Genomic DNA, 25,635 nt, shown 5'->3' on the forward strand with positions numbered 1-25,635 from the left:
GGCTTCTCCTTACTGCCGTTGGCCGAGGAGAGGAGGGCCTCAGAGAGCAGTGCTGGGGAGCCCAGGGAATTCGTCCAGGAAGTCGGTCTCCTTCCTGGAGAGGAACAGTGCTGCCTGCCACCCCTGCCCACAGCCCAAGGGGCTGCTGCTGGGGTAGGCTGCCTAGGAATGCTACAGATAGACATAGGTTTCGGAGCCCTGACGAGGCCAGTCCCTGGCTCCTACCACAACACCAAAACTGGTGGCTGCTCCTCTGGAGGACAATACTCAAGCAATCACTATTAATGCTTTGATTAAAAATAATCGTCATATCTTTCTCAAGCACTCGCTAGGCACACTCTAGGTGCTTCATACACAGTCTCGTTTAATCCCCATAACCACTCCTTGGGGTGTGTTCTCTCCGTTTTAAAGGCACGTCCGAACTGCTTATCCTAAAATCCCAAAAGAAGGTCACAGGAGGGTGGGTGTCTACTGCACTCAGGTGGCTAGTGTTAGCCACAAGATGAGGAGGGGCCCCTGTTGGCTTCTTGGGACTCTCCCCAGACCCCCAAGTCAATTCTACAAGTTCTTGGCTGTGCTGGGGCTCAGAACACAATACCCAAATGTAAGGGGCTTTGGCGTGCTGGGTACTTTGAACTAAAGGAGATTGGAAGGCCTCAGAAGCAAGCTCTGTGAATTTCTCTTGCCCTCCTGTCTCTCACCCTCTCTCCCCAGAAGTCACAGAATCCAGAACTTCTCTTCCCCAAGGCGGGTCACAGAAACTAGAATTCCTCTCTCCCAAAGCAAAGCCGAGAAAGGTTACTCTCTCCTGTCCCTTCTCCCTTGAAGACCCTCATGCCAGGGAAGTCCTGCCCCATATCTAGGAGGAAGGAATGCTACACAGAGAGGCCACAAAGAATCTGAACAGACAGGCCTTGCTGGGTTCCCTCTCAGCCTACACCCCTTTGTCCAGTCCCATTTCTTCATGGCTGTCTATTCTTCATCAAACCTAAGTATAAAAATAGGCAGTTTCCCTGGGTCTTTGGTTCTTCTTCTCTGAAGGTTCTCATGTCACTTACAACTTTGATTAAATAAATTTGTTACGCTCTTCTTTTGTTAGCCTTTCTTTTGTTATAAGTGTTGGCCATGACTCTTACGACGGGTAAGGAAAGGGATCACACCTTCCCGCCCCTACAGCTGTAACTGTTTCTTTTCAGCTCCTCTTCTAACTGTTCCACCAGCCAGGTGGGCACCACCCCTAGAGGTCTCTGCTCTGGTTACACATCCTTAGCAACCAAAGCACAGAGCCTAACCCTGCCCTGGCTCAGATGACGCTGCAGGAGGGGGCAAGGATACAGAGAGGGGCCTGGGACCCTGCTCTTCCCCAAATAGCAAGAGGTTGCTTCCACTCCCTTGGGAAATCCCCATCGTTTTAAAGGTGGTGTCTTCAGAATCCCCACTGTTTCTGCATTTCCTCCCTGGTTGGTTTCAGCACCATGCAGGGTGAGATCACAGAGGGGAAGGAGGGGACAGGGCTTAGACCTGAGGTTGCTGATACCACCAAAAAGCCCAAACCACATGGGGGAAAGACCCACTGCTTTGTCATGAGATGAAGAGGGGTCCCAGTGAGAGCAGCAGGTGAGCTGTGAAGTATCTGAAATGCACCAAACAGGACAAAACAAAAATGTCAGCCCAACAGCTGCCTGTGAAAGACATCCCATTCCCTTCCCTGCCTGCCTCCATGAGGGCCACACTTTCCTAGTGCTCTAGTTTCAAAGCCTAGACCCACCCCTGAACTCTTGCTACAATACCAACCCATTTCCTCTGTACTTGGTTCTAACCCTTCCATGCAAAGAGAACATCCCTTTTCCACCCAGGGTGTGTTCTGCTTTAAAAAGAAAAAAAAAAAACCAAGGCCCACTTCCCCTGCCAAGTCCTGGGTGTGAGTGAAGCGCAAAGTTAAAATTAAACTGAAAATTTGTACTTTTGTAGACTTTTTCCCAATTCCACTGACCATTTAAAAATATCCAAATGTGGTTACCCTACCTAGTGGAACTGAAATTACTCTGCTTGTATCAGAAGCTTTTCCAACACCCCAAAGAGAAACCTACACAGGACCCAATGCTTCATTCCTCAAGTGAACACCTAAAAGGAGCCCTCATATTCATAAGAGAGGTCAGTGAGGAGGCAATGAAGGTTCCCAAGATGTCAGATTGCTGGGGGTCCTGTACTTCCTGAAAAACTTGTCCCCAAAGCAAAGACCTGTCAGTCATTTTTCACCAATGGGACCTGAAAATTCCATGATAAACACAAATACGTTATTACTCTAAGGAACAATTTGTTGTTTAAAACTGAAATCTTGTCTTTACAGATCTCTCAAATTTGGCCTTTCCCCTCTGTTCCCAACGTTGCAGCACTGGTCACTGTCACCTCGAGTCACTTCAAGCCTGCTTTTGCCTCCACACCAGGTCTCTATGACTGTGAGGATGGAAGTGGTCAAGAGGCAGCCTGGATTACTGGGAACAGGCCTCGACCTAGAGGGCTCGACCCAACTGGCTCCATGATCTCAGCTCTCTCCCCCAGGCCTCAGGCTTCTGCCTCTGTAGAAAGGGGATGATGAGATCTGTTTAACCTATAAAGAGTAAACTCCAGCCTGGAAAACATTCCTGGCTTCTCACTGCCTTGGGAAAAATTCAAGTTCCTACACATGACCTCCAAGGTTCTCCATTCTTGGAGCTCCCTCCTCTTTATCCAACCTCAGCACCCCCAATCTCTCACTCTTACCCTACAAATCCAGTTCCCCTTCCCAGGAAGCCTTCTCCAACCCAGCTCTGTGCATCCTGGGGCACCAAGGGCAGCTGCTGCATGAATCATTTACTCGTGTATTAAGCATCCGATCCTCCTAGAGGTCAGGGACTGTCCTCCGTAATCAGCCTACCAGGGAGCGGAGACCAGAGCAACTGCTTAACAAATGTCCTGTTTATTGCGCCAGGTATAACATTAGGTGCTGGGAATATAGAGGTGAGTCAAACTGTCATGAAACGTATTCAACAGTATGACGAATAAATGTTGAATGAACCCTATCTTTTATAAACACCAGTGGTTTTTTGGAGTCTTTCTTGTGCCCAAGACAAGCATAAGCCCCTGAGAGGCAGGTCAGCTGTGCACACTCCCCCTGACCTGAATGACCCAGTGCTCTGCATGCAGGTCTCCAGCCCTCTCCACATGGGGCACACCTGCGACACTGTTGGCTGAGGAGACACGGAAGAAACAGTAAGCCAAGGTCGGGGTCCTTGCCAGCAAGAGGTGTGGTGGCCGGCTGGGAGGAGACAGCCACCAGTAAACAACTCCAGTCCAGTGTGCCAGGTAGCAGGACTGGGGCCGGGCCAGGGTGCATTCTTCAAATGCCTCTACCAGATAGAACAGGCATGCTAAAGGCAGATGAGGGGGACCCAGAAGGACCAACGGAGGAGATACACTATATCAAAAGCCAGGACTGGCTTAGAGGGCCCAGCATAAAATGAAAAACACGGAGCCCCTTGCTTAAAAATTAAGAATTCCAAGACAGTGACAGCAGCGCATTAAACCAAGTGCGTGCTGCACGGGTCACATGCCTGTGAAGCTGGCCCTGATTAAAGTGGACAGTTTGGGCCTGAAACAGAGCCCTTTGAAGGACAGGACCAGAGAGAAGGAAGCTTAGAGTAAGAACTGCTCCTTCTTTTTCTAGTACTTCCTGAGGCAACAAGGAAAGGTGGACAGAAGGCAGGCTCTCGAGTCCGAGAGAACTGGCTCAAGTTCAATTTTTCTTCTTTTTAGCCCAGCTTACCTTTCTGAGCTTCCGTTTCCTTTAGTGACTATAATGTCCATCACCTAGGGTTGGATTAAATAAGAATGTACTTGGAGCATCCCCAGCTTGGAAAAAGCCACTTGCCTTCCCCTTTTTCCATGGCTATCTTTACTGTTGCGTACAGTCAAGGCACAAGAATGGAAACGAAGGGCAGGTTAGCAGATTTGAGTCAACTAAGCTGTCTGTACGGCTTCCTTATAGTAAATACGAGGCCTCTTAACCTGTTGGGGAACCAGGAATGGTGTGCTTAAAACCGACCCCTTTGGATTTTTACATCCACACCTTGTTTTGTTTTTCACACTAACCCTGACCACCCTTGATTTTCTTTTCCTTCACGGAGCAAGAATTCAATACATATTTGTAGCTTTGGTTTCAACCTTGTCAGTCCCTGACTAATTTGGTTTTCAGGTTCCAGTCTTTGCACACAAGAGAAGACTCATATCAAATTGACCCTGTGTTTTTTGGTGCTCGTGGGTTTTAAATAGGTCAGCTTTTAAATGGGCCATCCCCTGTTGCAGATCCCATTTCAGCTAGAAGGCCAAACTGTCTGAGACACCAAGGTTTTAGACTGGGGTGATAGATGCTTGTGATTTTGTTGTTTTAACCATAAAATCGATGGTTTTGCTGAACAGCCAGTGTGGCAAAACCTGCAGAAATCAGTCAGGTTCCATGTTGGGGAAAAGTGAAAGCTCTGACAGAAAAGTTAGACATTTTGAAAGCTAGAAGGGCCTTAGGGATCTCCTAGGCCAGTGGCTTTCTACATTTTACACCGTGGCTCAGTACACACGTTTTTGTGTGTGTATAGGCATACACAACTGAAAACAAAACTTAACACTTGCAATTACTTTCTTATGTTACTTAGAACAAAATATGTGTAACGTGACCTACAGTCTGCAAAACTCTGGTGTAGGTCAGTTCTCTTTTTTCAGAGGAAGAAGCAAGGTCCAAAGTTGGGGCCAGAGTCACTGTGAGCTGGGCGATTCGTTTCCCTGCAGCACACACCACCACCAGGCATCAGAACTCACATCCCCAGTGGAAGACCATGGAATTAACAGATCACTCGTGTAGCTTTCAAGTTTCTGCTAACAGGAGGCTATTCTGCAGCCTCAACAGTAGTAGACCCAGATCTCCACACCTCTAGAAGATCTTTTAAAACCTTAACTAGGGGCAGAGTCCCCTATTACTTTAAAACAAACAAAAAATCTCCCCAAGAAAAAAGCATCCACGTCTCTGATTTTTTTTGTTGTTTGTTTCCTACAATAGAGCTCTGAAGGCAGGCGGGGAGCACATGGCCCGGGGAAGTCGGTGACGCCATCCTTATTATTTTAGGGAGCCAAGGAACACAAGCTGAGGCGCGCTGCAGCGGTAATTAAGCTGTCTGCCAGGGCCCCGGCTCATAGGCTAAGCCGCCGGCGCGGGGAGGGCCCGCATTAACATAAACCCTGTGACTTGCTCCTGCACCGCCTGGAACCGGCTTCCTCTGTCTCCTCCCGCGGGTGTGAGAGGGACTTGGGTTTCTGCTTCACCAAAGCAGAGGAGCTGGTTCCACCGCAGATGTTCCTCCAGCCAGAAACACAGACTCAGGGCAGTACTCCGCAGGCTGGGGTGGCTGCAGGACCTGAGTTTTGGGCTTGCCAAATGGGCCTGTTTAGCTGGTGAATCCTAGCTGGGCCCCTCCCTGATATTGTTCCTTTGCTTCCTCCCCCTTAAACCTCCTTCCTACCTTCCAGCTGGTATAGACTCCACATCAAGGACCTGTCAGTTCTACCTCCCGCAGGAAGCCTTCCCTGACTGCCCAGCCTCTAGCCCAGGCCTGTCTGGTTTAAGAGCGTGTATAGCTCTTAAAAGTGTTCACAGAGGAGCAGGAACTGTTTTGGGGTCTGAAGAAGGGAAGGAGGGGTTTTGGGTCTAGCTTTGCTGGGGGATGGGAGCTGCAGTGTGGAAAAGGGGAGATGAAGGTTTTAGAACTGGCAGGGTACACGACCCAGTGAAAATCTTACAGACTCAACTCTTTTTATTTTGAGACAGTTTCGTTCTTGTCACCTAAGCTGGCGTGCAGTGGCGTGATCTCGGCTCACTGCAACCTCTGCCACCCAGATTCAAGCGATTCTCTTGCCTCAGCTTCTCAAGTAGCTGGAATTACAGGCGCCCACCACCACGTCTGGCTGATTTTGTATTTTCAGGAGAGACAGGGTTTCACCATGTTGGTCAGGCTGGTCTTCAACTCCTGACCTCATGTGATCCACCTGCCTCCGCCTCCCAAAGTGCTGGGATTACAGGCGCCCACCATCACACCTGGCTAATTTTGTATGTTCAGTAGAGACGGGGTTTCACCATGTTGGCCAGGCTGGTCTTGAACTCCTGACCTCATGTGATCCACCTGTCTCCACCTCCCAAAGTGTTGGGATTACAGGCATGAGCCACCACACCCAGCCGCAGACTCGACTCTTTCTACATGGTTGTTCCCCTCCTACCTTCAGTGGATGCTGGAAGACTGAAGAGGTAGGTGCTGGAGGACTGAAGAGGTAGGCACTGGAAGCAGAGTCCCAGCAGGTGGTGTGTGAACAGTAACCAGGGAAGAGAAGGAAAAGGGGCCAAGATGCACCAAGGTGTAGTGCACAGAATGCTTGTCAGGCACTCTGATGACCTGGGCTTTGGTCCGCCTTGCCGCTAACTTGCTGTGTGACCTTCGGGAAGTCACTACCACTCTCTGGGCTTCTCCTAGTCCTCTAGTCCATACACTGGACAATAGAGCCTGAGTGCAGAAATAAGGTCCCTCTAGTTTCAAAATTCTCTCGGTACATACACTTTGAGCCTGAGTGCCCACCCCACATTCAAACTCAGTCACTGTTCCGGAAAGAACGTGGCCAATTTCATGGGTCAAGGGGCCCAGGATTCATCACTGAGGGATGCCAGGAAGGAAATCTGGGACATGGGGCAGTTACCCTGGGTAATAAGTGAAATGGGAAACTCAATCATCTAATCTCTTAAAACATATCAGCACCCCCAAAATAAGTACAACTATATCAATTTGTAAAATTAATTACAACAAGTTTTTAAAAACCACACATCAGGATATAAAAACACCCCCCAGAGGCCCCGGGTGCTGGGTTCTGAATGTGGGAGTCCAGCATTGTCCCATCTGATGTCTATCCTCTCACAGGTCATTGAGTGGCCTCCAAGATGCCTGGGGTGGGAGGAGAGGAGAGACCAGGATCACCCATCACTACTCAGATCCATGAGCTGACAATTCAGTGATTCAAAACACAAACCACAGCCGTTCTTGGTGATCTTATTACAGAACCACAGCACTGCACCCATGCAACAGAAAAGCCACAGAGAATGAAGACCAAGGCCTAGAGAGCAAAGAGGGTAAATCCTGCTCAATCTTCCTAAAACGCTGCTTTGATCACATCACATCATGTCTCATTACTCCCCTGTCCAAAAGCTTTTAATGGCCACAGGGATCAAGTGCAAATCCAGAGTACGATTCCCAGACCCCCACCCATCAGTGCTCCCTGGCAAAACCCCTGTGCTTCCTCCCATCTCAGCCCTCTGCTAGCCTCCCTGATGTGCAGCAAAAATAATGACATCACTTGGCATTGCATGTTACGGTTTACAAAGTGCTTCTCCCCTCATAGACAATGGAAATTTTACCCCTTCTGTCCCTCCCAGGCAACCTGCCCCTGTCCACCAGGGCCCTGAATGCTGCTGAAGGCCAGTCATTCTTCCTCCTATCTCTCCCCCAACACAGCCTTGCTAAGGTCTGAGGTCTCAGTGTCACCCTAGTGCCCTCCCCAGAGGGGCTGGCTTTCAGTAAATGCTTGCTGAATGGCCAAACAGGCTAGGGGAGGGGTGGGGTGTGGGTGGGGAATGGCTCTGGAGAATAATCTAGATTACAGAAGGCTAACCCTTTATTCACTTTCTGAGGCAAAGCTCCCCACTAAAACCACTCTTAGAAAAATCAACTGTCCCAGCTGACAGATACGGTTAATTCTGGCTGCTGAAATCAGATTGGGAGATTGAAGCCCAGCTTGGCTGGGACCGCTTGTGGACTGCGGGAGCTGTCTGCTTAGGAAATCCCACTGGAGTCTTCAGGGAGCAGCCCAGGGTTTCTGCCTTGGAGTCCGGGATGGACCCCGAGTGGAGGAACTGTCAGCAAAATAGAAGTTAATTCATTTCTCCAGTGTTACTATTCAGAGACCCAGGAGCTGGCAATTCAAAGTTTCTGCCTATTCCAGCCCCCAGCATAACCCATCTAAGAAAACATGCCAATCAGACTCAGAGGCCAGGACGCATCCCACAGCCGTGGTGTAAGCGTCTGCCCCATTTTCAGATAGCTTTTAAAAAATGCTTCAAAGAACTAAAGGACCCCATCAATGCCACTTTTGGGGAACTACTGTATCTAATCCAACTTCCCTAGCAATTGATGAAGCTGGGTGGAAACTAACTCTGTGACTCACCCAAGGCTACACAGTTACCCCACTGTAGAATCGAACCTTAGGCCATTCTCTCAAGACTCCAAACTTAGGGCCCACACCCTCAAAGTCACAGGACTCTCCATCCTCCTTGAAGCAAGAGGAAAGAAAGGTGGAAAATAAAATTAGCTGTTAGGAAGAGCCCAGACCTGAGCTCAGCCCCTGCTCTCCCCACCACCACCTTCCACACATCCATGCAGAGCTGCAAGTGGAGAAGAGGCAGGGAAAGCTAAATGGCCTCACAGAAGAAACCTCGACCTTGGCCTCCTTCCCTGCCACCTCTATGCAAAATGACAGCAGCATCAGCAATGACAGAAGCAGAGCAAACGCCGCCTCGGCACTGAAGCCCTGTTGTCCAACCACCAATGGGAAATCGCTGATTTGGGCAGAAATGGGAACCAATCATGCAGAAGAACCTAAGGCTGGGGCTGAAAGTTTTTTCTATCCAAGGCCACAAAACAAATTAGCCAGGGGCTACACATAAGAAGCAATTTAACATTAGTTATTTCTCCCTTAGACAAGTGTGAAATGTGCAGCTTCCTTAAATCTGTGAATTACACATGTATGGCAAAAATTATTAGTGAAGGAAGTGCAAGAAATGCTAGCAGTATATGTTAACTCCATATTTCTAATTGGAAGGAGGATTAATAAAAGAAATGGAATGAGGGAAAGCAAGGAAACTATGGGGAACTGAGGGGCTGCTGGAAGGAAGGGGAGAGGGAGAGACAGACACAGACAGAGAAAGACACGATGAGGGAAGAAAGGAGTTGGAGGCTTGGCAGGTATTGCTGAACTTCCAGAGTTCCATCCTCTTCATCTGGGTTTGGTGGTAGAACCTTACCTACACTTGTTGTTTTTTAAAAAGAGTGCAGGTTGAGTTCATTGTTGTTCACAAGTCTATGGCTGCTTTAATCTCAAAATGCTAAAAAACAAAAACAAACCCCAAACCAAAAAACTATGAAGAGAGTCAGGGAGGGTCCACATGACTCGAGACAATGTAAAAAGGAACTTAATGATTTTAGTCTTCATCAGAGGCTCATGAAGGAGGCTTCTACCATGGCAGCCAACACAGATGAGCCATCGAAGGCTGTGCTGATAGGAACACGTGGGATGGACCAGGGCTCCTTGGTCAGGGTCCCAAAACACTCTGCACTGACAGGACTAGACCTGAAATTCCAAAATTTAAAGAACAAATTTGAGGAAGGCAACCAGGGTAGGAAGGCATCTGAAAACTGGGATACTAGAAGAACAATTGAAGGAACTAGTGATGTTTAGGCTTGAGGGTAGGGGAGACCATGATCACTATCTCTCTCCACTTATTTGAAGGAATGTCATGTACGTTTATTGTGTTTTCCAGTGGTTCAAGAACTAAGATCAGAGTGCAGGAATCATAAAGAGACAGCTTTCTCCCCAGTGTACTTTGTAAGAAGGTCTCTAGATCATTATGGCTGTCTCACAAAATAATGGGCTGCTCTGAAAACTTGGGAGCTTCCTGTCCCTGTATGAATCACAAGGCTGTTAAGTGACCGTGGGCAAAGAGCTTCATACATAAAGAGTGCTGGATGCTTATTAGATGAATTAATAATATTGTATGATAAAGCCCTGCAAAGAGAGCTCTGAGTCTTTTCCCCTCTTAAAATGCTATGATTTGATTCTTTCTTCTTAAGCATTACTTGCTTTAGGATGCAGGCCCGATACAATCATTCAACAGTCCGTACAGAGTATTTACTACATGCCATGCCAGGTACTATGCTAGGTGTTAAAGATACCGTGGTAAACAAAACTAGGTGCCTGTCTCACAGATCTACATTCTAGCAGGGGAGCCAAAGAATAAACCAATAAATGTATACACATGTATATAATGTGTATGAATGCTGCAAAGAAAAAAAAAAAAGGACAGAAAGGCACCGGGCGCGGTGGCTCACGCCTGTAATCCCAGCACTTTGGGAGGCCGAGGCTGGCGGATCATGAGGTCAGGAGATCAAGACCATTCTGGCTAACACGGTGAAACCCCGACTCTACTAAAAATACAAAAAATTAGCCAGGTGTGGTGGCGGGCACCTGTAGTCCCAGCTACTCCGGAGGCTGAGGCAGGAGAATGGCGTGAACCAGGGAGGCGGAGCTTGCAGTGAGCCGAGATCCCGCCACTGCGCTCCAGCCTGGGCGACACAGCGAGACTCCGTCTCAAAAAAAAAAAAAAGAAAGAAAAGAAAAGGACAGAAAAGCAATAGTGACAAGGGACACTACTTTAGAGAGGGTAACCAGGAAGGCCTATCCAAAGTGAGCTTTCAGCAGAGACGTAAGGCCAAGTCAACAACTAGGAGGGCCTTCCAGACAGAAAGAAGGAAAAGCCAGGGCAAAGATCCTGAGTGGGTGGCATGCTTGGCCTTATTGGGGAACAGCTAGGAAGCCAGGTGGGTACGAGAGAATTTGTGGAAGGGAAGAAAGGAGGTGGCAGCATGAGATTGGGGTGGAGAGAAGGCTGCTGTAGGTTACACACCTTTACCCACAGGGGACATTCCACATGCAACTGGTGGTAGGATAGTGGGTTTCACAGGCAATGCAAGAAGAATTGCTTAGACCACAGGAAAGTAGTTAAGACCTGAGATCTGGCCATAAGCCTAAGAGTTACCTTGCTCTGCCTTAAAGGAAGAAGAAGAAGAAAAAAAAAAAAAAAAGCAAAGGAAAAAAGTGAAGGAGAAGAAGCTTTAATCAGGATTGTGCTTGCCCCATGTTTCCAGGTAGAAATGGGCCTAATCTACACCCCGGACATCTCCTATGGGAGAATGTTTTGATTATGGGGGTTTGGACACATGAGAAGTAGTCGGAAGATCTGGTTTGGTTTCAGGCTTTACTGCTTACAAACTGTGTGGCTTTGGACAAGACTTCACTGAGATTCAGTTTCTTCACCTGTAAAATGGGACGAGTCCCTACCAATCCCACCTGTCTCCATGGGACCCAATGAGATCATGGGTAAGCCAGGCTGTCCTAGAGGTTACTATGATAAATTTTATAAGCATGTTTCTTACCCAAGACTTTGCACCCCAGAAAGCAGAGGTGAGGTATTATGCAACTGATTCCCCCACACTGCCTTGCACTTAGCTTTCAATAAATGTTTGCAGAACTGAAAAGCATTAAAAATAACCCGGAAAATGTTCTGCCATTTTTTTCCTTCCTATTAAACTGTAGCACTTTGCCAGAATGCTCCAGAACAGTCTCTCTTCACTGTAATCCTTCACTTTGGAGGAAGAACCAACTGAGTCACACCAGAGGTGTGTGCTCAGAGGATAAACTCTGAGGAATGGGGACAGGAACAAGGCCTGACTCCTCTGGGGAAGGCTCCTTGCTCTCTGTGCCCCCAACCTTTCTCAAACATCCTGAGAGGGCCAGGCCAGGCTACCAACGGAAGGGACTGCAGATTACCCTAGCACAAGGTCAGGATCTCCTGGAAAAGTCCATGAAAGCCTGAGAAATACAATATTCACAACATTCCACTTCAGACTAAGGAGTCTCAATCTGGTCCAACTGCCTCACCATACGGATAGGGAGGCTAACACACAGGTCAGTGGACTCGCTGGTTCAAGGTCACCTCTTTTTTTTTCTCCTTTTCAATTTTTTGACTAACACATTCATTCTCATGGTTTTAAAACCAAAATATATAAGATATACAGTTAACTCTCCCTCCTATCTTATCCTCTGTCTGCCCAGTCAACTATACCACCTGCTAAGCATCTCTCTAGAATGTTCACACACATACAAGCAAATTCAGAATCTTATTTCTTCTCTCTTTTATTAAAAACCTAGCATATTATACTAATCATTGCCTTGCCTTTTTTTCATGGAGTTTGTGTAAGAGTACATAAAAACCCTCTTCGTTTCTTCTTTGCAACTACATAGTGTGTCATCATTTTTCTTAACCAGTCTCTTATTGATGAGTATCTGGGTTGCTTCCAATCTTTTGTGTAATAAATAATTTTGCAATATCAATAAGCTTGGGCATGTCAGTTTGCATTCACCTAGCTTACGGATAAGAGCTGGAATCAGATCCCATTTCTGACCTACAGGGTGGCAGTCATACAGCCTCAGAGTCCTATTATCTTATTTATTTATTTGAGACGGAATTTTGTTCTTCTCGCCCAGGCTGGCGGGCAGTGACGCCATCTCGGCTCAGCGCAACTTCCACCTCCCAGGTTCAAGTGATTCTCCTGCCTCAGCCTCCCAAGTAGCTGGGATTACAGGTATGTGCCATCATGCCCGGCTAATTTTTTATATTTTTGGTAGAGACGGGGTTTCACCATGTTGGTCAGGCTGGTCTCGAACTCCTGACCTCAGGTGATCCACCCACCTTGGCCTCCCAAAGTGCTGGGATTACAGACGTGAGCCATTGTGCCCAGCCCAGAGTCCTACTATCTAATGTCTAAGTTACTTAACCTCCATTCATTCAATACACGCTCCTCAGAACTACTAAATCCCAGGCACTACACCAGGTGCTGAGGGTACAATGATAAAGGTGTCTTTGACTTCTGCTCCCAAAGTGTCCAGCCTGGAAGGGACAAACAGAAGGGAACATTCCGACACACAAGGGCCGCTCAGTGTGCCCCGGAAGCCATCTGACCTTTGTAGGCCAATCTCTGTCAGGAAATGGGTGGCCTTACCTACACCTCAGGGGTGTTTTAAAAGGTAAAAAAGATAATGCTTGCCAAGTACCTAGCAAGCAAGGACCACACAAAGCTCATGGCAGATACTCAATAAGGGGTAAGCCTCCTCTTGTCCCAGAATGGGTCTTAGTGATGGCAGCAGCAAGGTGTTCCAGGCAAAGGCACTGCATTGCCATGCCTGTTCCACAATGAGCAATTCTCTTTTCTTAGAGGAGTCTGGAATACACTGCTACTTATTTTTTAAAGCAGCACCTAAGCCCCTAATTATGTCTTAGCCTACTTTTATTGGAAAGCCATTTGCCTCTCTCCCACATTCCAGACCCTCTTCAATATCTCTGAGGCACCTGGGTATGCTTCTCACCTGCGTGCACAAGCCCTGGTGTTTGATGGAGTGTCAGAGCCACAGAGGAAACCCACACACATTTCTTAAGACCCTGGCACAGAAAGGCACAGGCAGGCACATGGAAAGTCGCTTTTACTAGGATACCCCTGAAAGTATTAAATAATAAATAGAAAAAAAATAGGACAAAAATCATTAAATCTCACACATATTGTTTGGTTTTATGTGCTCTATTTCACAAACTTTTTTTTTTTTTTTTTTTTTTGAGACGGAGTCTTGCTCTGTTGCCAGGCTGGAGTGCAGTGGCACAATCTCGGCTCACTACAACCTCCGCCTCCCAGGTTCAAGGGATTCTCCTGCCTCAGCCTCCTGAGTAGCTGGGATTACAGGCGTGCACCACCAAGCCCAGTTAATTTTTGTATTTTTAGTAGACATGGGGTTTCACTGTGTTGGCCAGGATGGTCTTGATCTCCTGACTTCATGATCCACCCACCTCGGCCTCCCAAAGTCCTGGGATTACAGGCATGAGCCACTGCGCCCGGCCCACAATAAAACATTTTTAAAAATCAGAACTTTTGGCATAATCTATTTCGCTTTCCCAGGAAAAGAAATGTAGCAGATTTTATAACAGAGAAGAGAAAGTAAAGTCAAGTCAAGAGTCTAAGGTATTTCCATATTATCATCAAAGTTGCCGGGAGAAGGTTGGGGGTCAAAGCTAAGATTCCAGGTTGGATGACCTGGTTTTGTATCCAAGCACAGCTCCTCAGTACTACCTGACCTTAGGTTGGTTACTTAACCTTTCTGAGCCTTGGTTCCCTCATTGGCAGAGTGAGCATAATTCCATTCATCCAGCAGCATTTCTGTATAGATTAAAGAATAAATATGGTGCCTGGCACATTGGCATGAACAAACAGTTAAAAACAAACAAAACACATTTTTAAAAAGATATTACTTTTTCTATTTAGTACAAAAATGAAAATCTAGTGTCTTCCCTTGTTTTCTGAGTCTCGCTCTGTGGCCAGGCTGGAGTGTAGTGGCACAATCTCGGTTCACTGCAACCTCTGATTCTCCTGCCTCAGCCTCCTGAGTAGCTGGGATTACAGGCGCCCACCACCACGCCCAATTAATTTTTGTATTTTTGTAGAGATGGGGTTTCACCATGTTGGCCAGGATGGTCTCGATCTCCTGGCCTCGTGATCCACCTGCCTCGACCTCCCAACGTGCTGAGATTGTAGGCGTGAGCCGCTGCACGCGGCTGTGTCTGCCTTTGAGAAGCTTCAAGAAAAACAGTGGGCATGAAATTATCCAGCCCTCATAATACTGGGAAACTATTTTCCTAACAGGCTAATTAATAAAGTCTTACTTCAGCCAGAAGCTCCTTTCAAATTGATGTAGGATTCCTGCTTTTAGATGAAATTATTGGCCAATTATAGCTCAGTCTGGTCCTTGGGAGAGGTGGGGTCTGCTGCTGTATTTGTGACCTCTGATTTAACTGTGGGCTTCTCTCTCCCTAAAATAAACCCTGGGGGCCCTGTGAGTCCTGCCTCACCATCTCTGGTCAGAGGCATCAGTAGGGTCTCTCCAGCCCCCATTCAAAAGCATCTAACCCCCTAAACCAGGTCCAGATGGAATCCAGAAAGTACAAATGGGGGTCCTCCAGGAAACACTGCTATTTCAGAAACACCAATGGAAATTCCACTCTGACAGTGACGGCAGCTGGTGGTACAAAATTGGGCGGTGTCTCCGCCTAGGCAGGAAAAACACCAGCTCCAGGCAGTCAGCCGTTGCCTTACCTGGAGGGCTGATCAACCGTCACAAATGTGTTTAAAATTTCTACCCCCTCCCCACACCCAGCCATGAGAAAATAAATGTATTATTGTTAATAAATGCAATTTGGAAGTCTAAATCTTTCAAAGGGCTGAGTCTTGAAGATAATAAAACACATTCTGGGATGAAAAGGCAGAGGGCTGGAGCCCAAGGCTGGTGTGAGCAGAGCAGTGGCCGGCTATTATACTTGTCCTTCTTGGGTTTAATTTCATCTTTCCCATGAATCATCCCATGAATTCACACCTTAAGCTCACTGGGCCTTAGCTTGTTTATTGGGAAGAGGACTTCTAGAGGTACTTCTAGATCAGATATCCTAAGTTCCAGCTCATGGGGTCAGAAGTCCAGTGTAAGGCACTTGAGTGCTCAAATGCCACCTCCTCAGAGAGGCCTTCCTGGACCACCCATCTCCTTTAACGCAGCCTTATGGGTCTTCATGGCACTCATCACACCAGCAGCCATGCCTTTGCTTGAAGGCTTACTACTGACTGTCTCCCCCAGCGGAACAGAAGCCCCACAAGAGCAGCATAGGTGATGTGTCTGTCTAGTTCCTAGAACAGAACCCAGTACAGAGTCGGCATTCATCAATGTGTGTGGAATGAATGAATGAATGATTAGCCAAGCCAAGGGTCAACCAGAAAGACAGGGATTCCAATCTTACACCTTCATTTGCTATCTGGGCACCTCTGGGTAAGCCACATAACCCCTCCACAGTATTGTGTATTTGCAGAAACCACCCCCATAACTCTGGTTAACATCAGACAGTAGTGGCCAAGTGCTGCTCACCATCAGGGACATTTGTGGCAGTAATAAGCCTCCTGGGGCTAATAAGCCATTGGTCGATACAAGTCTGGTTTCTGGTACAGTGGGTGCCTCTCAGACCAAGATGCACATCTTGCTGGAGTCTATGGCCACTGGTCAATCTCAGAGGCACATTCTCACTCCCATATCCAACCCTGCCACTCCTGATGATGAACACCGGCCGCTGAAACTGAAGGAAGACTCCTGAGTGCCTACACATGCCAACTGCCTGCCCTGAATGAAGTACCCTTCTGGCTTTAAGAGGGCAGTCAGCGTTCCATTTCCGCTCCCACTACTCCCACCCCAAAGAGCAACCCTGGAGGGCTCTCCTCTAGAAGCCTTCCCAGACTCACAGACCACACCTAAATGCAAAGACACACCAGTACTTTTAACCAAGACACAGAAAGGCATGTCTGCAACAGAGCCATAAACTAGACAAGGGCTAAAAAGAACAGAACTGCTCATTATGGCTTCAGGCCAACCTCTGCAGATAGGCTTCATCAGGCCTACCAGAGACAGCTGAAAGCTTCACAAAGTACAGGCCTGCCCAGTCTTCAGAGACCACAACCAGGGTACACCCAAATCTTCATGGGGAAAGGAAGACGTGCAGAAGTGGAAGGAACGCCTGGGTGGCTGTGAAGGCCAGTTTCTGACCCTCCATATGGAACAGCCCCCTGTGCCAGAACAGACAGGCTACTCCCACTGGCAGCCAGGCAAGAGGCTGGAGAACCACATCTGCCATCGTCACAGAGCTCTTCTATGTCCCCAGCTGCAGGAGAGTCACACTGGGCTCTGTACACCGTCAATGCTGCCCTCTGGCAGGGGGTATGGACATATAAAGGAGCACTGACCAGACAGAGAGAAAGCCACAGATGCACACCTAAGTGAGTGCTATTGGACTTGGCTGAGAGGCGAACGCTGCTGCGTGCCCTGGAAGTCCCCAGGACTTTTACCTTTATGTCACCTAGGTGGACACAGTTTGCTCCCTTTCTTCCAGTGAGTTGAGGAGGGCTTCCCAGAAAAGGGGACCTCTCAGGAGCTGTATGAATGAAAGATAAAGGACTGGGAGAGGCTGGCCCAGACTTCTGCAGCCAGAGGGGAGTTTAAAGGCAAGAAGGCTAGGGTCACGGAGCAACTGCTATGGGAAAGGTGAGCCAGCGCGACAGCCCCCACCCCAGAAGAGGCCCGGGGCAAGGGGATGCCTGCAGCTTGGCTGGTATTCCTCCCGCCCCACCTCCACAGAAAACGGGGGGGGGGGAGTCTCTCCTTTGCCCAGAGCCTCCCTGCCCCTCCCCTCCGCTTCACAGCTCCAGGCGAGGCCTCCTCCTGGGGCAGGCCGAGACAGCTCTTCTCAGACTTGCTCCCACCCCAGCAAGCACCTTCTGGAGAGGGGCTGACTCCACCCCACCCCCACCGCTGACCAAACAGCTCATTCAAGCCCTGACGGGTAGAATCTAACCTTCAGGGTCCGTCTACAACCCATACCTGGCATAAACGATATTTCTTTCCGTGCTAACAACAAGCTCTGGGAAGCAGGTTATTCACCGTTTCACAGATGTGGCAACTGAGGCTCAGTGAGGTGACCTGCCAACATCCTCAGGCTCAGCAGTTCTCAAGCACTACTGCCCACTGTACCTGACTGCCTGGGTCTGCGCCTGGGCCCCCGCCCTTTTACAAAAGGTCCACGGCCTCTCAAGAGCTGGACATGAAGGATGGGCCAAGTCCAGTCTTGATCGGTAATGCCCACTTGACACTCCCAGGAGCAGCATCCTGAGATACACGTAAATGAAAAATTCCAAGTGTGATGAGCAGAACGTGGTTGTGTGAACAATCCCATGGTGGTGGGGATGTGGGGGGCAGGTCAAGGAGCGGATCCCTGAACCCCAGCAGATTAAATCCTGCATCCTTCTTTCCTATTTCCTGGTTTCTCTGCTCCATTTTCCTCTAGTTTCCACTTAGTTACTTCTTCCTACCTGCTGTGAAGCTCTGCACCCTGCTCCATGGGGTGGTTCCCAACTGTGCTTTAGAGTCCCCTTTAGAGCTTTCTAAAAATACACGGACTGGGGCACCACCCTCAGAGACTGATTCAGTTCAGGCAGAGCCTGGGTATTGCTTCAGATGCTCCCCTGGCAGTTCTGATCCACAGCTGGGGTTGAAATCGGCTTTACTAACCACACACCTTCTTCCCTGCAGTGTATGTGCTATGCTCCATCACTCCAGCTCCACCACAGGAGCCAGGCACCACCATCCACTATAACCACTCTCTTCTCTCCTACCCAGCCCAGGATGCAAGGACTGGATTCAAGAAATTAAATTTGCTACAAAAATACTTACATAGCATTTATACAACTCCTTGTCTCATTCCCGATGCTGGGCACACAGGCCATATCAGTGGACTCCCCTCACCCGTCCATTCAGTTACACCACTTAGGCCTGCCCATGAAGCCAATGGCTAAGGTGACAGTTGGTTACATAAATTGAAGATGAGTCCCTCCTCCAGATGCATGGTCCCTGAAGAAATCTGAAAGTAATTCCTCTAAATTGAGAATGACAGGCCCTTGCCTCCACCCTATCACCCCCTGCACACGCACATGCATACACACGTAGTTCTCACGAATTCTACAGGAGGCAGCAGAATCCAGAAACCCAGCACTGGGCACTGCTGGCTGCAGAGTTCCAGCACAACTTTGCTGAAATCTCTCAGCAAACACACTCTGCGGGCCTCTCTCTTTCAAGCTTCACTGTGCACCTCTGTCTCTGCCCTTCCAGCCCACACATCCTGCCTCTTACTTGTTCCCCACTCCAAGATAACTAGGAGAAAGCCACCTTCCCACCCACCCTGAGTCTATGGCTGATGGAATCCTTATCGTAGCTACTTCCTGGCCTCTCAGGACATGGGCAGAGAGAACCCGGGGGTTTACCTCTGTGGGACCCCAGGGGTGACTGGAGGGGACTTTGGTGGATCTGTCCACACAGCCTAAACAAAGAGCACCAAGCTGACACACGGCAGTGGAGCCTTGATTCACCAAGGATCTCGGGCAAGCTAGCTTATTGTATTAAAGGGAGACTGTGAATGTCCCCTACCCCTACTCATCACACACTAGAGCTGGAGAGATCTTAACAAGCAGTGTCTAGGAAGGTATGAGCGTTTCTTTTACAGAGTGAACTTTAGTAACTGAATTTAAAATAAAACGAGCAATTAATTAGAACAGTAGTCTCTTATGTGGACTGCCCAAGCCAATCCACTGGGATGCAAGAATTTCAGGACTTTTTAGATGTTTAAATGTATCCTTTTTAATTTATATTTTTGGCGTTACATTTTATAATGTCCATATTTATAGGTAGTGTATGTGAATAATCCATAACTGCAAGGTAGACATACTGGGGCTCAGGTTCAAATTGTTTACTGATAAGGGATGTGATAATGAGAAAAACATGATGACCAGCGACCTAAGAAGTGTGCATCACCCACCCAGAGCAACTCCATCAGAAAGTCACACCAGCGGGCGTGGGGGTGCGGGTGTGAAGGTGTGCGCTTCGTTTCAGTGGCTTCGTGCTTGATGTACCAACCGGTAGGTGATGAAAGTGACAAGAAGGTATAAGTACCACAGATCCTTCACTCCATCAGTACTTCTAGAATGCTTACCATGTGCCAGGCACAGTGTGGAGCTCTGAAGACCACAATGATGAGCAAAAGCAAGTCCCTCAAATCGTGCAGTGCACCCATTAGGCAAGGGGACAGAGATGCTAATTAAACACTCATAATCTGGAATATGTAGTTACAAACTGAAGCACTCTGAGGGAAAAGTTCTGTAAGAGTTTTCTGGCAAAAGAACTAGATCTAAACCTGACGGAGGAGGCTGGAGATGGTAAAGATGACTAGATGCTAACTGGATACAGTGGCAATCTCAGTGTGGCACAGGTTTGCAGGAATGAGAGGCAGCCAGGGAGGCCCAGAGAGAGTGGGGCAAGGGAACAGATGACGGGAAGTGGCCAGACCATGCAGCACCTTGTTGGTCTTATTAAAGATTTGGGACTTTATCCTAGGAACAATGGTGAATTTTAAGTATGGGGTGACATTACATGTGTGTTTTGATAAGATCATTCTAGTTGAAGGTCACAGCATGGCTTCAAGAAGACTAGACTATGATACAGGGAGATCAGTGGCAAGCAACAGAGCATGTTTTAAACAGACAAGACTTGTGATGATGATGGATGGAAAGAGGATCATGAGTGTGTGTGTGTGGGCAGTGGTGGGCAAGGGACAGAGGACATGGGTTCCCTTTGGACTTAAGAGTAGGGCACTTTTGGAGCACCCAGGTGGAGACATCAGGTGGGTCTCAAGCTTACTCAAGCAGTAAACTTCAAACCTCAGAGAGCAGCACGCAGTACCTGCAGCTGTCAGTGAGGAAGGACAAATTTCCAACTGGAGAGAATACAGGATAAGAATGCCCAGCGCCCAAGTTTGACTAAGTCAATACTTCATGGCTAAACAGGAGAGCAACAGGACACCAGAAACTGAGCAGTGACTAGAGCCGTAGAAGATATACCAGAGAAAGGGAGAGCATCTATCATAAAGTCAAGAATGCTGAATCCCAGCCGGGCGCAGTGGCTCACGCCTGTAATCCCAGCACTTTGGGAGGCCGAGGCAGGCAGATCACTTGAGGTCAGGAGTTCGAGATCAGCCTAGCCAACATGGTGAAACCCCTTCTCTACTAAAAATAAAAAAGTTATCCGGGCGTGGTGGTGGACACCTGTAATCCCAGCTACTCGGGAGGCTGAGGCACGAGAATCGCTTGAACCCAGGAGGTCGAGGTTGCAGTGAGCTGAGATCAAGCCACTGCGCACTCCAACATGGGCCACAGAGTGAGACTCTGTCTGGGAAAAAAAAAAAAAAAAAAGAATGCTGAATCCCGCCACTGAGACATCATGCAAGATAAGAAATGAAGGCTGTTGGGATTCTTGGCACTATTTAGGAAGCAAACCAGACTTCACGTGGTGGAGTAAGAGAGGTGACAGGATGGAGAAGATAGACAATTCAGAAAGTTTAGGGAGTAGGGAGAAGAGTGGGATGGGCAGTAACTACAGCGCAACACGGGATCAATTAGAGTCTTTGCTTTAAGATGGGAGAAGCATCCCCAGCTGGAGAAGAATCCAAAGGACAGGAGTGGCTAGGTGCCCAGGAGGAACAAGGGAACTGAGGGAGGGATGGACAAGACAAGAAGACCACTGAACTGGGAGGGATTAAGGCAGGTTCAGCCTCACAACTACTTAAGAAACCAGGAGGTTTCCATTTTCTGTGAAGAGGACGTCCTGGCCGGGAGGGAAGGGGTGGAGGCCTGAAATAGCTGCTGAGGGCAGTAAGAAAAAGAGTTGCCCAGAAGAGGGACGAGTCACTTACCCTCAGTAGAAACTACCTAGAGTCCAATGTCAGGACTGTAGTGAATTCCTAGTGGGAAAAAGTAACTCCTGGTAACTTTGAATCTCTAGCTTCTAAACCTCCTTTCCCATTGAAAGAAAATGGTTACTTTTGTATGTAATGTGTCTGCGGATAATGTAAGTTGGGTTTTTTTGAGACCGAGTTTCGCTCGTTGCCCAGGCTGGAATGCAGTGGCACGATATCGGCTCACACTGCAACCTCCGTCTCCCAGGTTCAAGCGATTCTCCTGCCTCAGCCTCCAGAGTAGCTGGAATTACAGGCACCTGCCACGACACCCGGCTGATTTTTTTTTTTGTATTTTTAGTAGAGACAAGGCCAGCCTGTTCTTGAACTCCTGGCCTCAGGTGCTCTGCCTGTCTTGGCCTCCCAAAGTGCTGGAAGTACAGGCGTGAGCCACTGCGCCTGGCCCTAAGTTGTTTTTTTTTTTTTTAAGTGAATGCCAGGTATGGTATTCTAGCTATGGTGTTCTAACGGCAACAACAGCTAACATTTCTTGAGAGCTTACTGTGTGCCAGACAGTGCGGCAGGCACTATTACAACCTCATTTTGCGGAGACAAAAAGGGAAGGTGCCCTGAGAGGGGCGTGCCCAAGTGCCACAGTTGGAAGTGGCGGAAGCAGGACATACCCCCACGCAGTCTATGTGGGGGAAACCAGGTGCACTGTCCTCTCTCCACAATCTTCCCTGACCCAGCATGCAAAGTGTGCAATGCACTGAAGGATGGGGCCCTGGGTGACAAGAGTGTGGAGAAGGGGCTGGGGGAACATGGCTGATGGGGGGCCACTGGCACCAGGAACGTTGGAAGGCACCCGTCTGGGGTAGGAGCCTAGGATTGAGTCCTTATGCTGAGAAGGTTGGAGGGGAGAGAAGCAAGACATAAGGAGAGCAGCTGGAGAAGATGGGATGGGCTGGTTTAAAACAGAAGTCATGATTGACCCTCAGTGGAGAGGCCTCACAAAGGTACCAAGGGCATCCTCTCATTCCCCCAAACAAAACTACAAGTATTGAGTATAAAGAAACCTTAATATTCATCTTTTAATGGCTTTCAAACATTAACAAATAATGAAACTAATTTGTAGGTCCAAGCCAGTCAGTTTTCTTTTTAATGAATAAAAGTGTTTTACATGTAGTGAGGGAGGAGCATGGTGTCGGTTTTTCACAAAACACAGGAATGCGTGTACATACCAGGGAGTGGAGTAAAATGTATTTCTCACTACTAGGAGCAGAAAGTTCGAAAGCCACTGATCTAATTCAACACTCCCATTTTAGAATTTCAGAATGGAGAAAACAGAGGCTCAAAGAAGCCAAACAACTTGTCCAACTTACTTAATAGCAAAGCCGAGAAGAGCATCCAAGTCTTTAATAGTTCTCTGGTAATTTCCTCACCAAACCAGAATCTCCAAATGTAAATACCTCTGGGAAAAACAGTGCTGACTTTAATCCACATTAGAGTAAATAACAGTGGAGTAGTAAGTAAGCTGATCTTTTAGATCTGCTGCCTGGAGCAAGTTTTGGTAAAGGAAACAGTAGCTGAATGAATTCAGGGGGCAGCTGTGGAGCTAAAACAAAATAAATCTGAGGGAAAGCACTGGGTTGCAGGGTGTGGCCCAGCAGGCCCAGGACAGGGCTTGGTGTGGTAGAATAAAGGGACTTTTATCTTCCTTAGAGTCTGTATATCATCAGGACAACTAGTTCTAGACAAGGAGGCTGCTTCCATGTCTGAGAAGGTGGCTCAGGGCCATGGTGCTTTGCTCATCTAGTTTCAACAAATTTTATTAAATGAGAAGTTCTGAATAACAGATGCCTTCACAAATCTCTGTCCCTGCCAGACTCCATCTCTTTAATGAAAACATCATTGTTGGGTATTTATCATTTGTTGTATAATTCTATTTCAAAGCTATAGAAGATTCAGAGTCAGGTCCATGTTTCTCTACTTGAAGGCAGTGGTGCTGGGGGACTGGGAGAGGGTAGTTCCTAGGAGACCAGAGAACTAGCTAGAGTAAGGGATGGACTGCCAAAACAAAGAGGAGGGATGCTGGTGGCAAACATTTCTAAAGGAATGCCTCTCTAGACACCAGAGCTATGAGCCTCCTCTTAAACTAAGTTAGAATTCAGGCCAGACAATTGGGCCACGTTCATTGGGCCAGGGCCCAATCACCAACAAGCTCCCGGCTCCTTTCCTAAGTGACTGCACCAAAATAGCAAAGGCATGAGATGTCTAAAGAGTATCCTACACAATTTCCAGGAAGTTTTTTTTTTTTTTTTTTTGAGACGGAGTCTCGCTTTGTCCCCCAGGCCGGAGTGCAGTGGCACGATCTCTGCTCACTGCAAGTTCTGCCTCCCGGGTTCACGGCATTCTCCTGCCTCAGCCTCCCGAATAGCTGGGACCACAGGCACCCGCCACCATGCCCGGCTAATTTTTTGTATTTTTACTAGAGACGGGGTTTCACCGTGTTAGCCAGGATGGTCTTGATCTCCTGACCTCGTGATCCACCCGCCTCGGCCTCCCAAAGTGCTGGGATTACAGGCGTGAGCCACTGCACCCAGCCTCCAGGAAGTTTTTTATTTCAATGTGATGTAATTAATTTGGACCCAAGCTCTGGGATGGACAGCTCTGAAAGCTCAAGCAGATGTCTTTCCAATGGTATTGAAGAAGGGGGCCAGGCACGCTGGCTCACACCTGTAATCCCAGCGCTTTGGGATGCCAAGGTGGGCAGATCACTTGAGTCCAGGAGTTTGAGACCAGCCTGGGCAACACGGCAAAACCCCGTCTCTACAAAAATTATAAAATAAATAAATAAAAAAGGAAACAAGTCTCATACTGCTATGGGGAAAGAAAAAAAAAAAGAAAGATGGCCAACTGTGTAAGTCTAGAGTAAGCCACCTTGAGAGGCTGGTGGTGCAGCAGCAGCAGGAAAGAGGGAATTGGGGCTGTGGTGTGCTGTCATAACACAGGCTGCTGTTATGGGGACTAGGATTTGTCCCCTTGAATTTATCTCCTCCTCCCCTTGACCTGGCCAATTTTATAACCATTCCTTCCGTTCATTAGCTCAGGCACAAGACGCTAGAGGGAAAAACTTCTGAAACTCAAAGCCACTATGCTGCTGGTTCATTCCCCAGGAAACACGCATGGTAGAAAAGCAGCAGGCCAAAAACTAGAGATTCCAGGATTATCTGTCATTTTCAAAGATCTGGGCTCTGAAAGGCTGATGTGAGCCACTGGGTGCACAGCTGCCCCGCCTTTGGTTCAAGCCTCAAAGCTCTAACCGTTGCAACCCAAAGCTCTTTCTATCTCTGAGATGACATCTAGAACCTAAGAGTGACCATTCAACTACAAGATACACAGAAGGCTTTGACATGTTCTGAGTACACAACGAAGAATTTCAGCTGGCTATACAGAACTCTAGACGAGAAGTGCTTCATACTAAACCAGTAACAAGGATAATTTCTCTTCCTATGGAGGTTCCTGGGTTGAGGCTGATTTCCACTAGGCACCAATTACTTACAGGGCACAGAACACATAAAAGGACTTAAAAAGACCCTGAGAGTACCACCCAAATATATGGCTTGCCATTTGCTTAAACAAAGCAAAACACTAGATCCCTGGGGCCCACCCTCCAATCTACTGAACCACCTTTTCAGCAAACCTCTTCTGCAAAGGGGGCAGATAGTAAACTTTATCAAGAGCCAAAATTAAGAACACTACATAGGGACTTTTATAACAAGAGAAAAATCTAACACATTTCCACAATTCTTTTATTGATAAAGTTCAGAATATATTGAGTACAATTTTTTTTTTGTAACGAGATCTGTTAACGAGACAAGTGGATTTCTTATTTTTTGGGAGAATAACATTTCAAGTCATTGGGATTCAAAGAGTGTTCCATACCATCAAATTGACTGCAACGTTTATATGTACAAATAATTCTTAGCTCATGACTGTACAAAAATTGGGAGCTCAGTTATAGTTTGGTGATTGCTGTGGTACTCCTGTGATTGGGGTGGAGCCCAGGAATCTGCATTTTACATGCCTCTCACGTGATTCTGGTAATGGGCCATGGACCCAATGGACTATCCAATCCTCGGAATCTCTGTCCACCAAAGGGGCCTGTGGTTTTGCAGTGCGAGAACCCGGCTGTGCCACCTACCAGTTGCTCAACCTCTCCAAAAATCAGATGATTCATCCTCACAACAGGGGTGGCATTGCACTGCTTGGCCTACCCTTAAAGAGTTGCTGGGATGATTAAGTGAGATGATCCATGAGGTGCT

At 47.8% G+C, this 25,635-nt stretch overlaps 1 protein-coding gene, 1 long non-coding RNA gene and 1 other non-coding gene across 3 annotated transcripts in view, besides 10 other annotated features; all 3 read right to left on the bottom strand.

The window, feature by feature from the left end:
- ANP32A (acidic nuclear phosphoprotein 32 family member A) overlaps positions 1 to 25,635 on the bottom strand; it is a 42,361-nt gene that overhangs the window by 11,719 nt on the left and 5,007 nt on the right. The gene's annotated exons all lie outside the window — the stretch shown is intronic.
- Positions 1,175 to 1,676: an enhancer, noted in NCBI's record as "H3K27ac hESC enhancer chr15:69083767-69084268 (GRCh37/hg19 assembly coordinates)". NCBI's record gives its function as "activates a minimal SCP1, AML or CMV promoter by ChIP-STARR-seq in naive H9 embryonic stem cells {active_cell/tissue: H9 hESC(naive)}" and the evidence as "EXISTENCE:reporter gene assay evidence [ECO:0000049][PMID:30033119]".
- Positions 1,199 to 1,408: an enhancer, noted in NCBI's record as "active region_9646". NCBI's record gives its function as "activates an Ori minimal core promoter by ATAC-STARR-seq in GM12878 lymphoblastoid cells {active_cell/tissue: GM12878}" and the evidence as "EXISTENCE:reporter gene assay evidence [ECO:0000049][PMID:35858748]".
- Positions 1,439 to 1,498: an enhancer, noted in NCBI's record as "active region_9647". NCBI's record gives its function as "activates an Ori minimal core promoter by ATAC-STARR-seq in GM12878 lymphoblastoid cells {active_cell/tissue: GM12878}" and the evidence as "EXISTENCE:reporter gene assay evidence [ECO:0000049][PMID:35858748]".
- Positions 1,677 to 2,176: an enhancer, noted in NCBI's record as "H3K27ac hESC enhancer chr15:69084269-69084768 (GRCh37/hg19 assembly coordinates)". NCBI's record gives its function as "activates a minimal SCP1, AML or CMV promoter by ChIP-STARR-seq in naive H9 embryonic stem cells {active_cell/tissue: H9 hESC(naive)}" and the evidence as "EXISTENCE:reporter gene assay evidence [ECO:0000049][PMID:30033119]".
- Positions 4,332 to 4,541: an enhancer, noted in NCBI's record as "active region_9648". NCBI's record gives its function as "activates an Ori minimal core promoter by ATAC-STARR-seq in GM12878 lymphoblastoid cells {active_cell/tissue: GM12878}" and the evidence as "EXISTENCE:reporter gene assay evidence [ECO:0000049][PMID:35858748]".
- Positions 4,892 to 5,141: an enhancer, noted in NCBI's record as "active region_9649". NCBI's record gives its function as "activates an Ori minimal core promoter by ATAC-STARR-seq in GM12878 lymphoblastoid cells {active_cell/tissue: GM12878}" and the evidence as "EXISTENCE:reporter gene assay evidence [ECO:0000049][PMID:35858748]".
- Positions 4,892 to 5,539: a biological region, named in NCBI's record as "H3K27ac-H3K4me1 hESC enhancer GRCh37_chr15:69087559-69088131".
- Positions 4,967 to 5,539: an enhancer, noted in NCBI's record as "H3K27ac-H3K4me1 hESC enhancer chr15:69087559-69088131 (GRCh37/hg19 assembly coordinates)". NCBI's record gives its function as "activates a minimal SCP1, AML or CMV promoter by ChIP-STARR-seq in naive H9 embryonic stem cells {active_cell/tissue: H9 hESC(naive)}" and the evidence as "EXISTENCE:reporter gene assay evidence [ECO:0000049][PMID:30033119]".
- Positions 7,449 to 7,528: an enhancer, noted in NCBI's record as "active region_9650". NCBI's record gives its function as "activates an Ori minimal core promoter by ATAC-STARR-seq in GM12878 lymphoblastoid cells {active_cell/tissue: GM12878}" and the evidence as "EXISTENCE:reporter gene assay evidence [ECO:0000049][PMID:35858748]".
- MIR4312 (microRNA 4312) lies at positions 11,597 to 11,672 on the bottom strand. Its single transcript, NR_036197.1, has one exon. It is a non-coding gene; the product is annotated as a microRNA 4312 (primary transcript).
- Positions 13,568 to 16,848, bottom strand: ANP32A-IT1 (ANP32A intronic transcript 1). Its single transcript, NR_026808.1, has one exon. It is a non-coding gene; the product is annotated as an ANP32A intronic transcript 1 (long non-coding RNA).
- Positions 21,364 to 21,864: an enhancer, noted in NCBI's record as "H3K4me1 hESC enhancer chr15:69103956-69104456 (GRCh37/hg19 assembly coordinates)". NCBI's record gives its function as "activates a minimal SCP1, AML or CMV promoter by ChIP-STARR-seq in primed H9 embryonic stem cells {active_cell/tissue: H9 hESC(primed)}" and the evidence as "EXISTENCE:reporter gene assay evidence [ECO:0000049][PMID:30033119]".

This window comes from Homo sapiens, chromosome 15, assembly GCF_000001405.40.
Source record: "Homo sapiens chromosome 15, GRCh38.p14 Primary Assembly".
Lineage (NCBI taxonomy): Eukaryota > Metazoa > Chordata > Mammalia > Primates > Hominidae > Homo > Homo sapiens.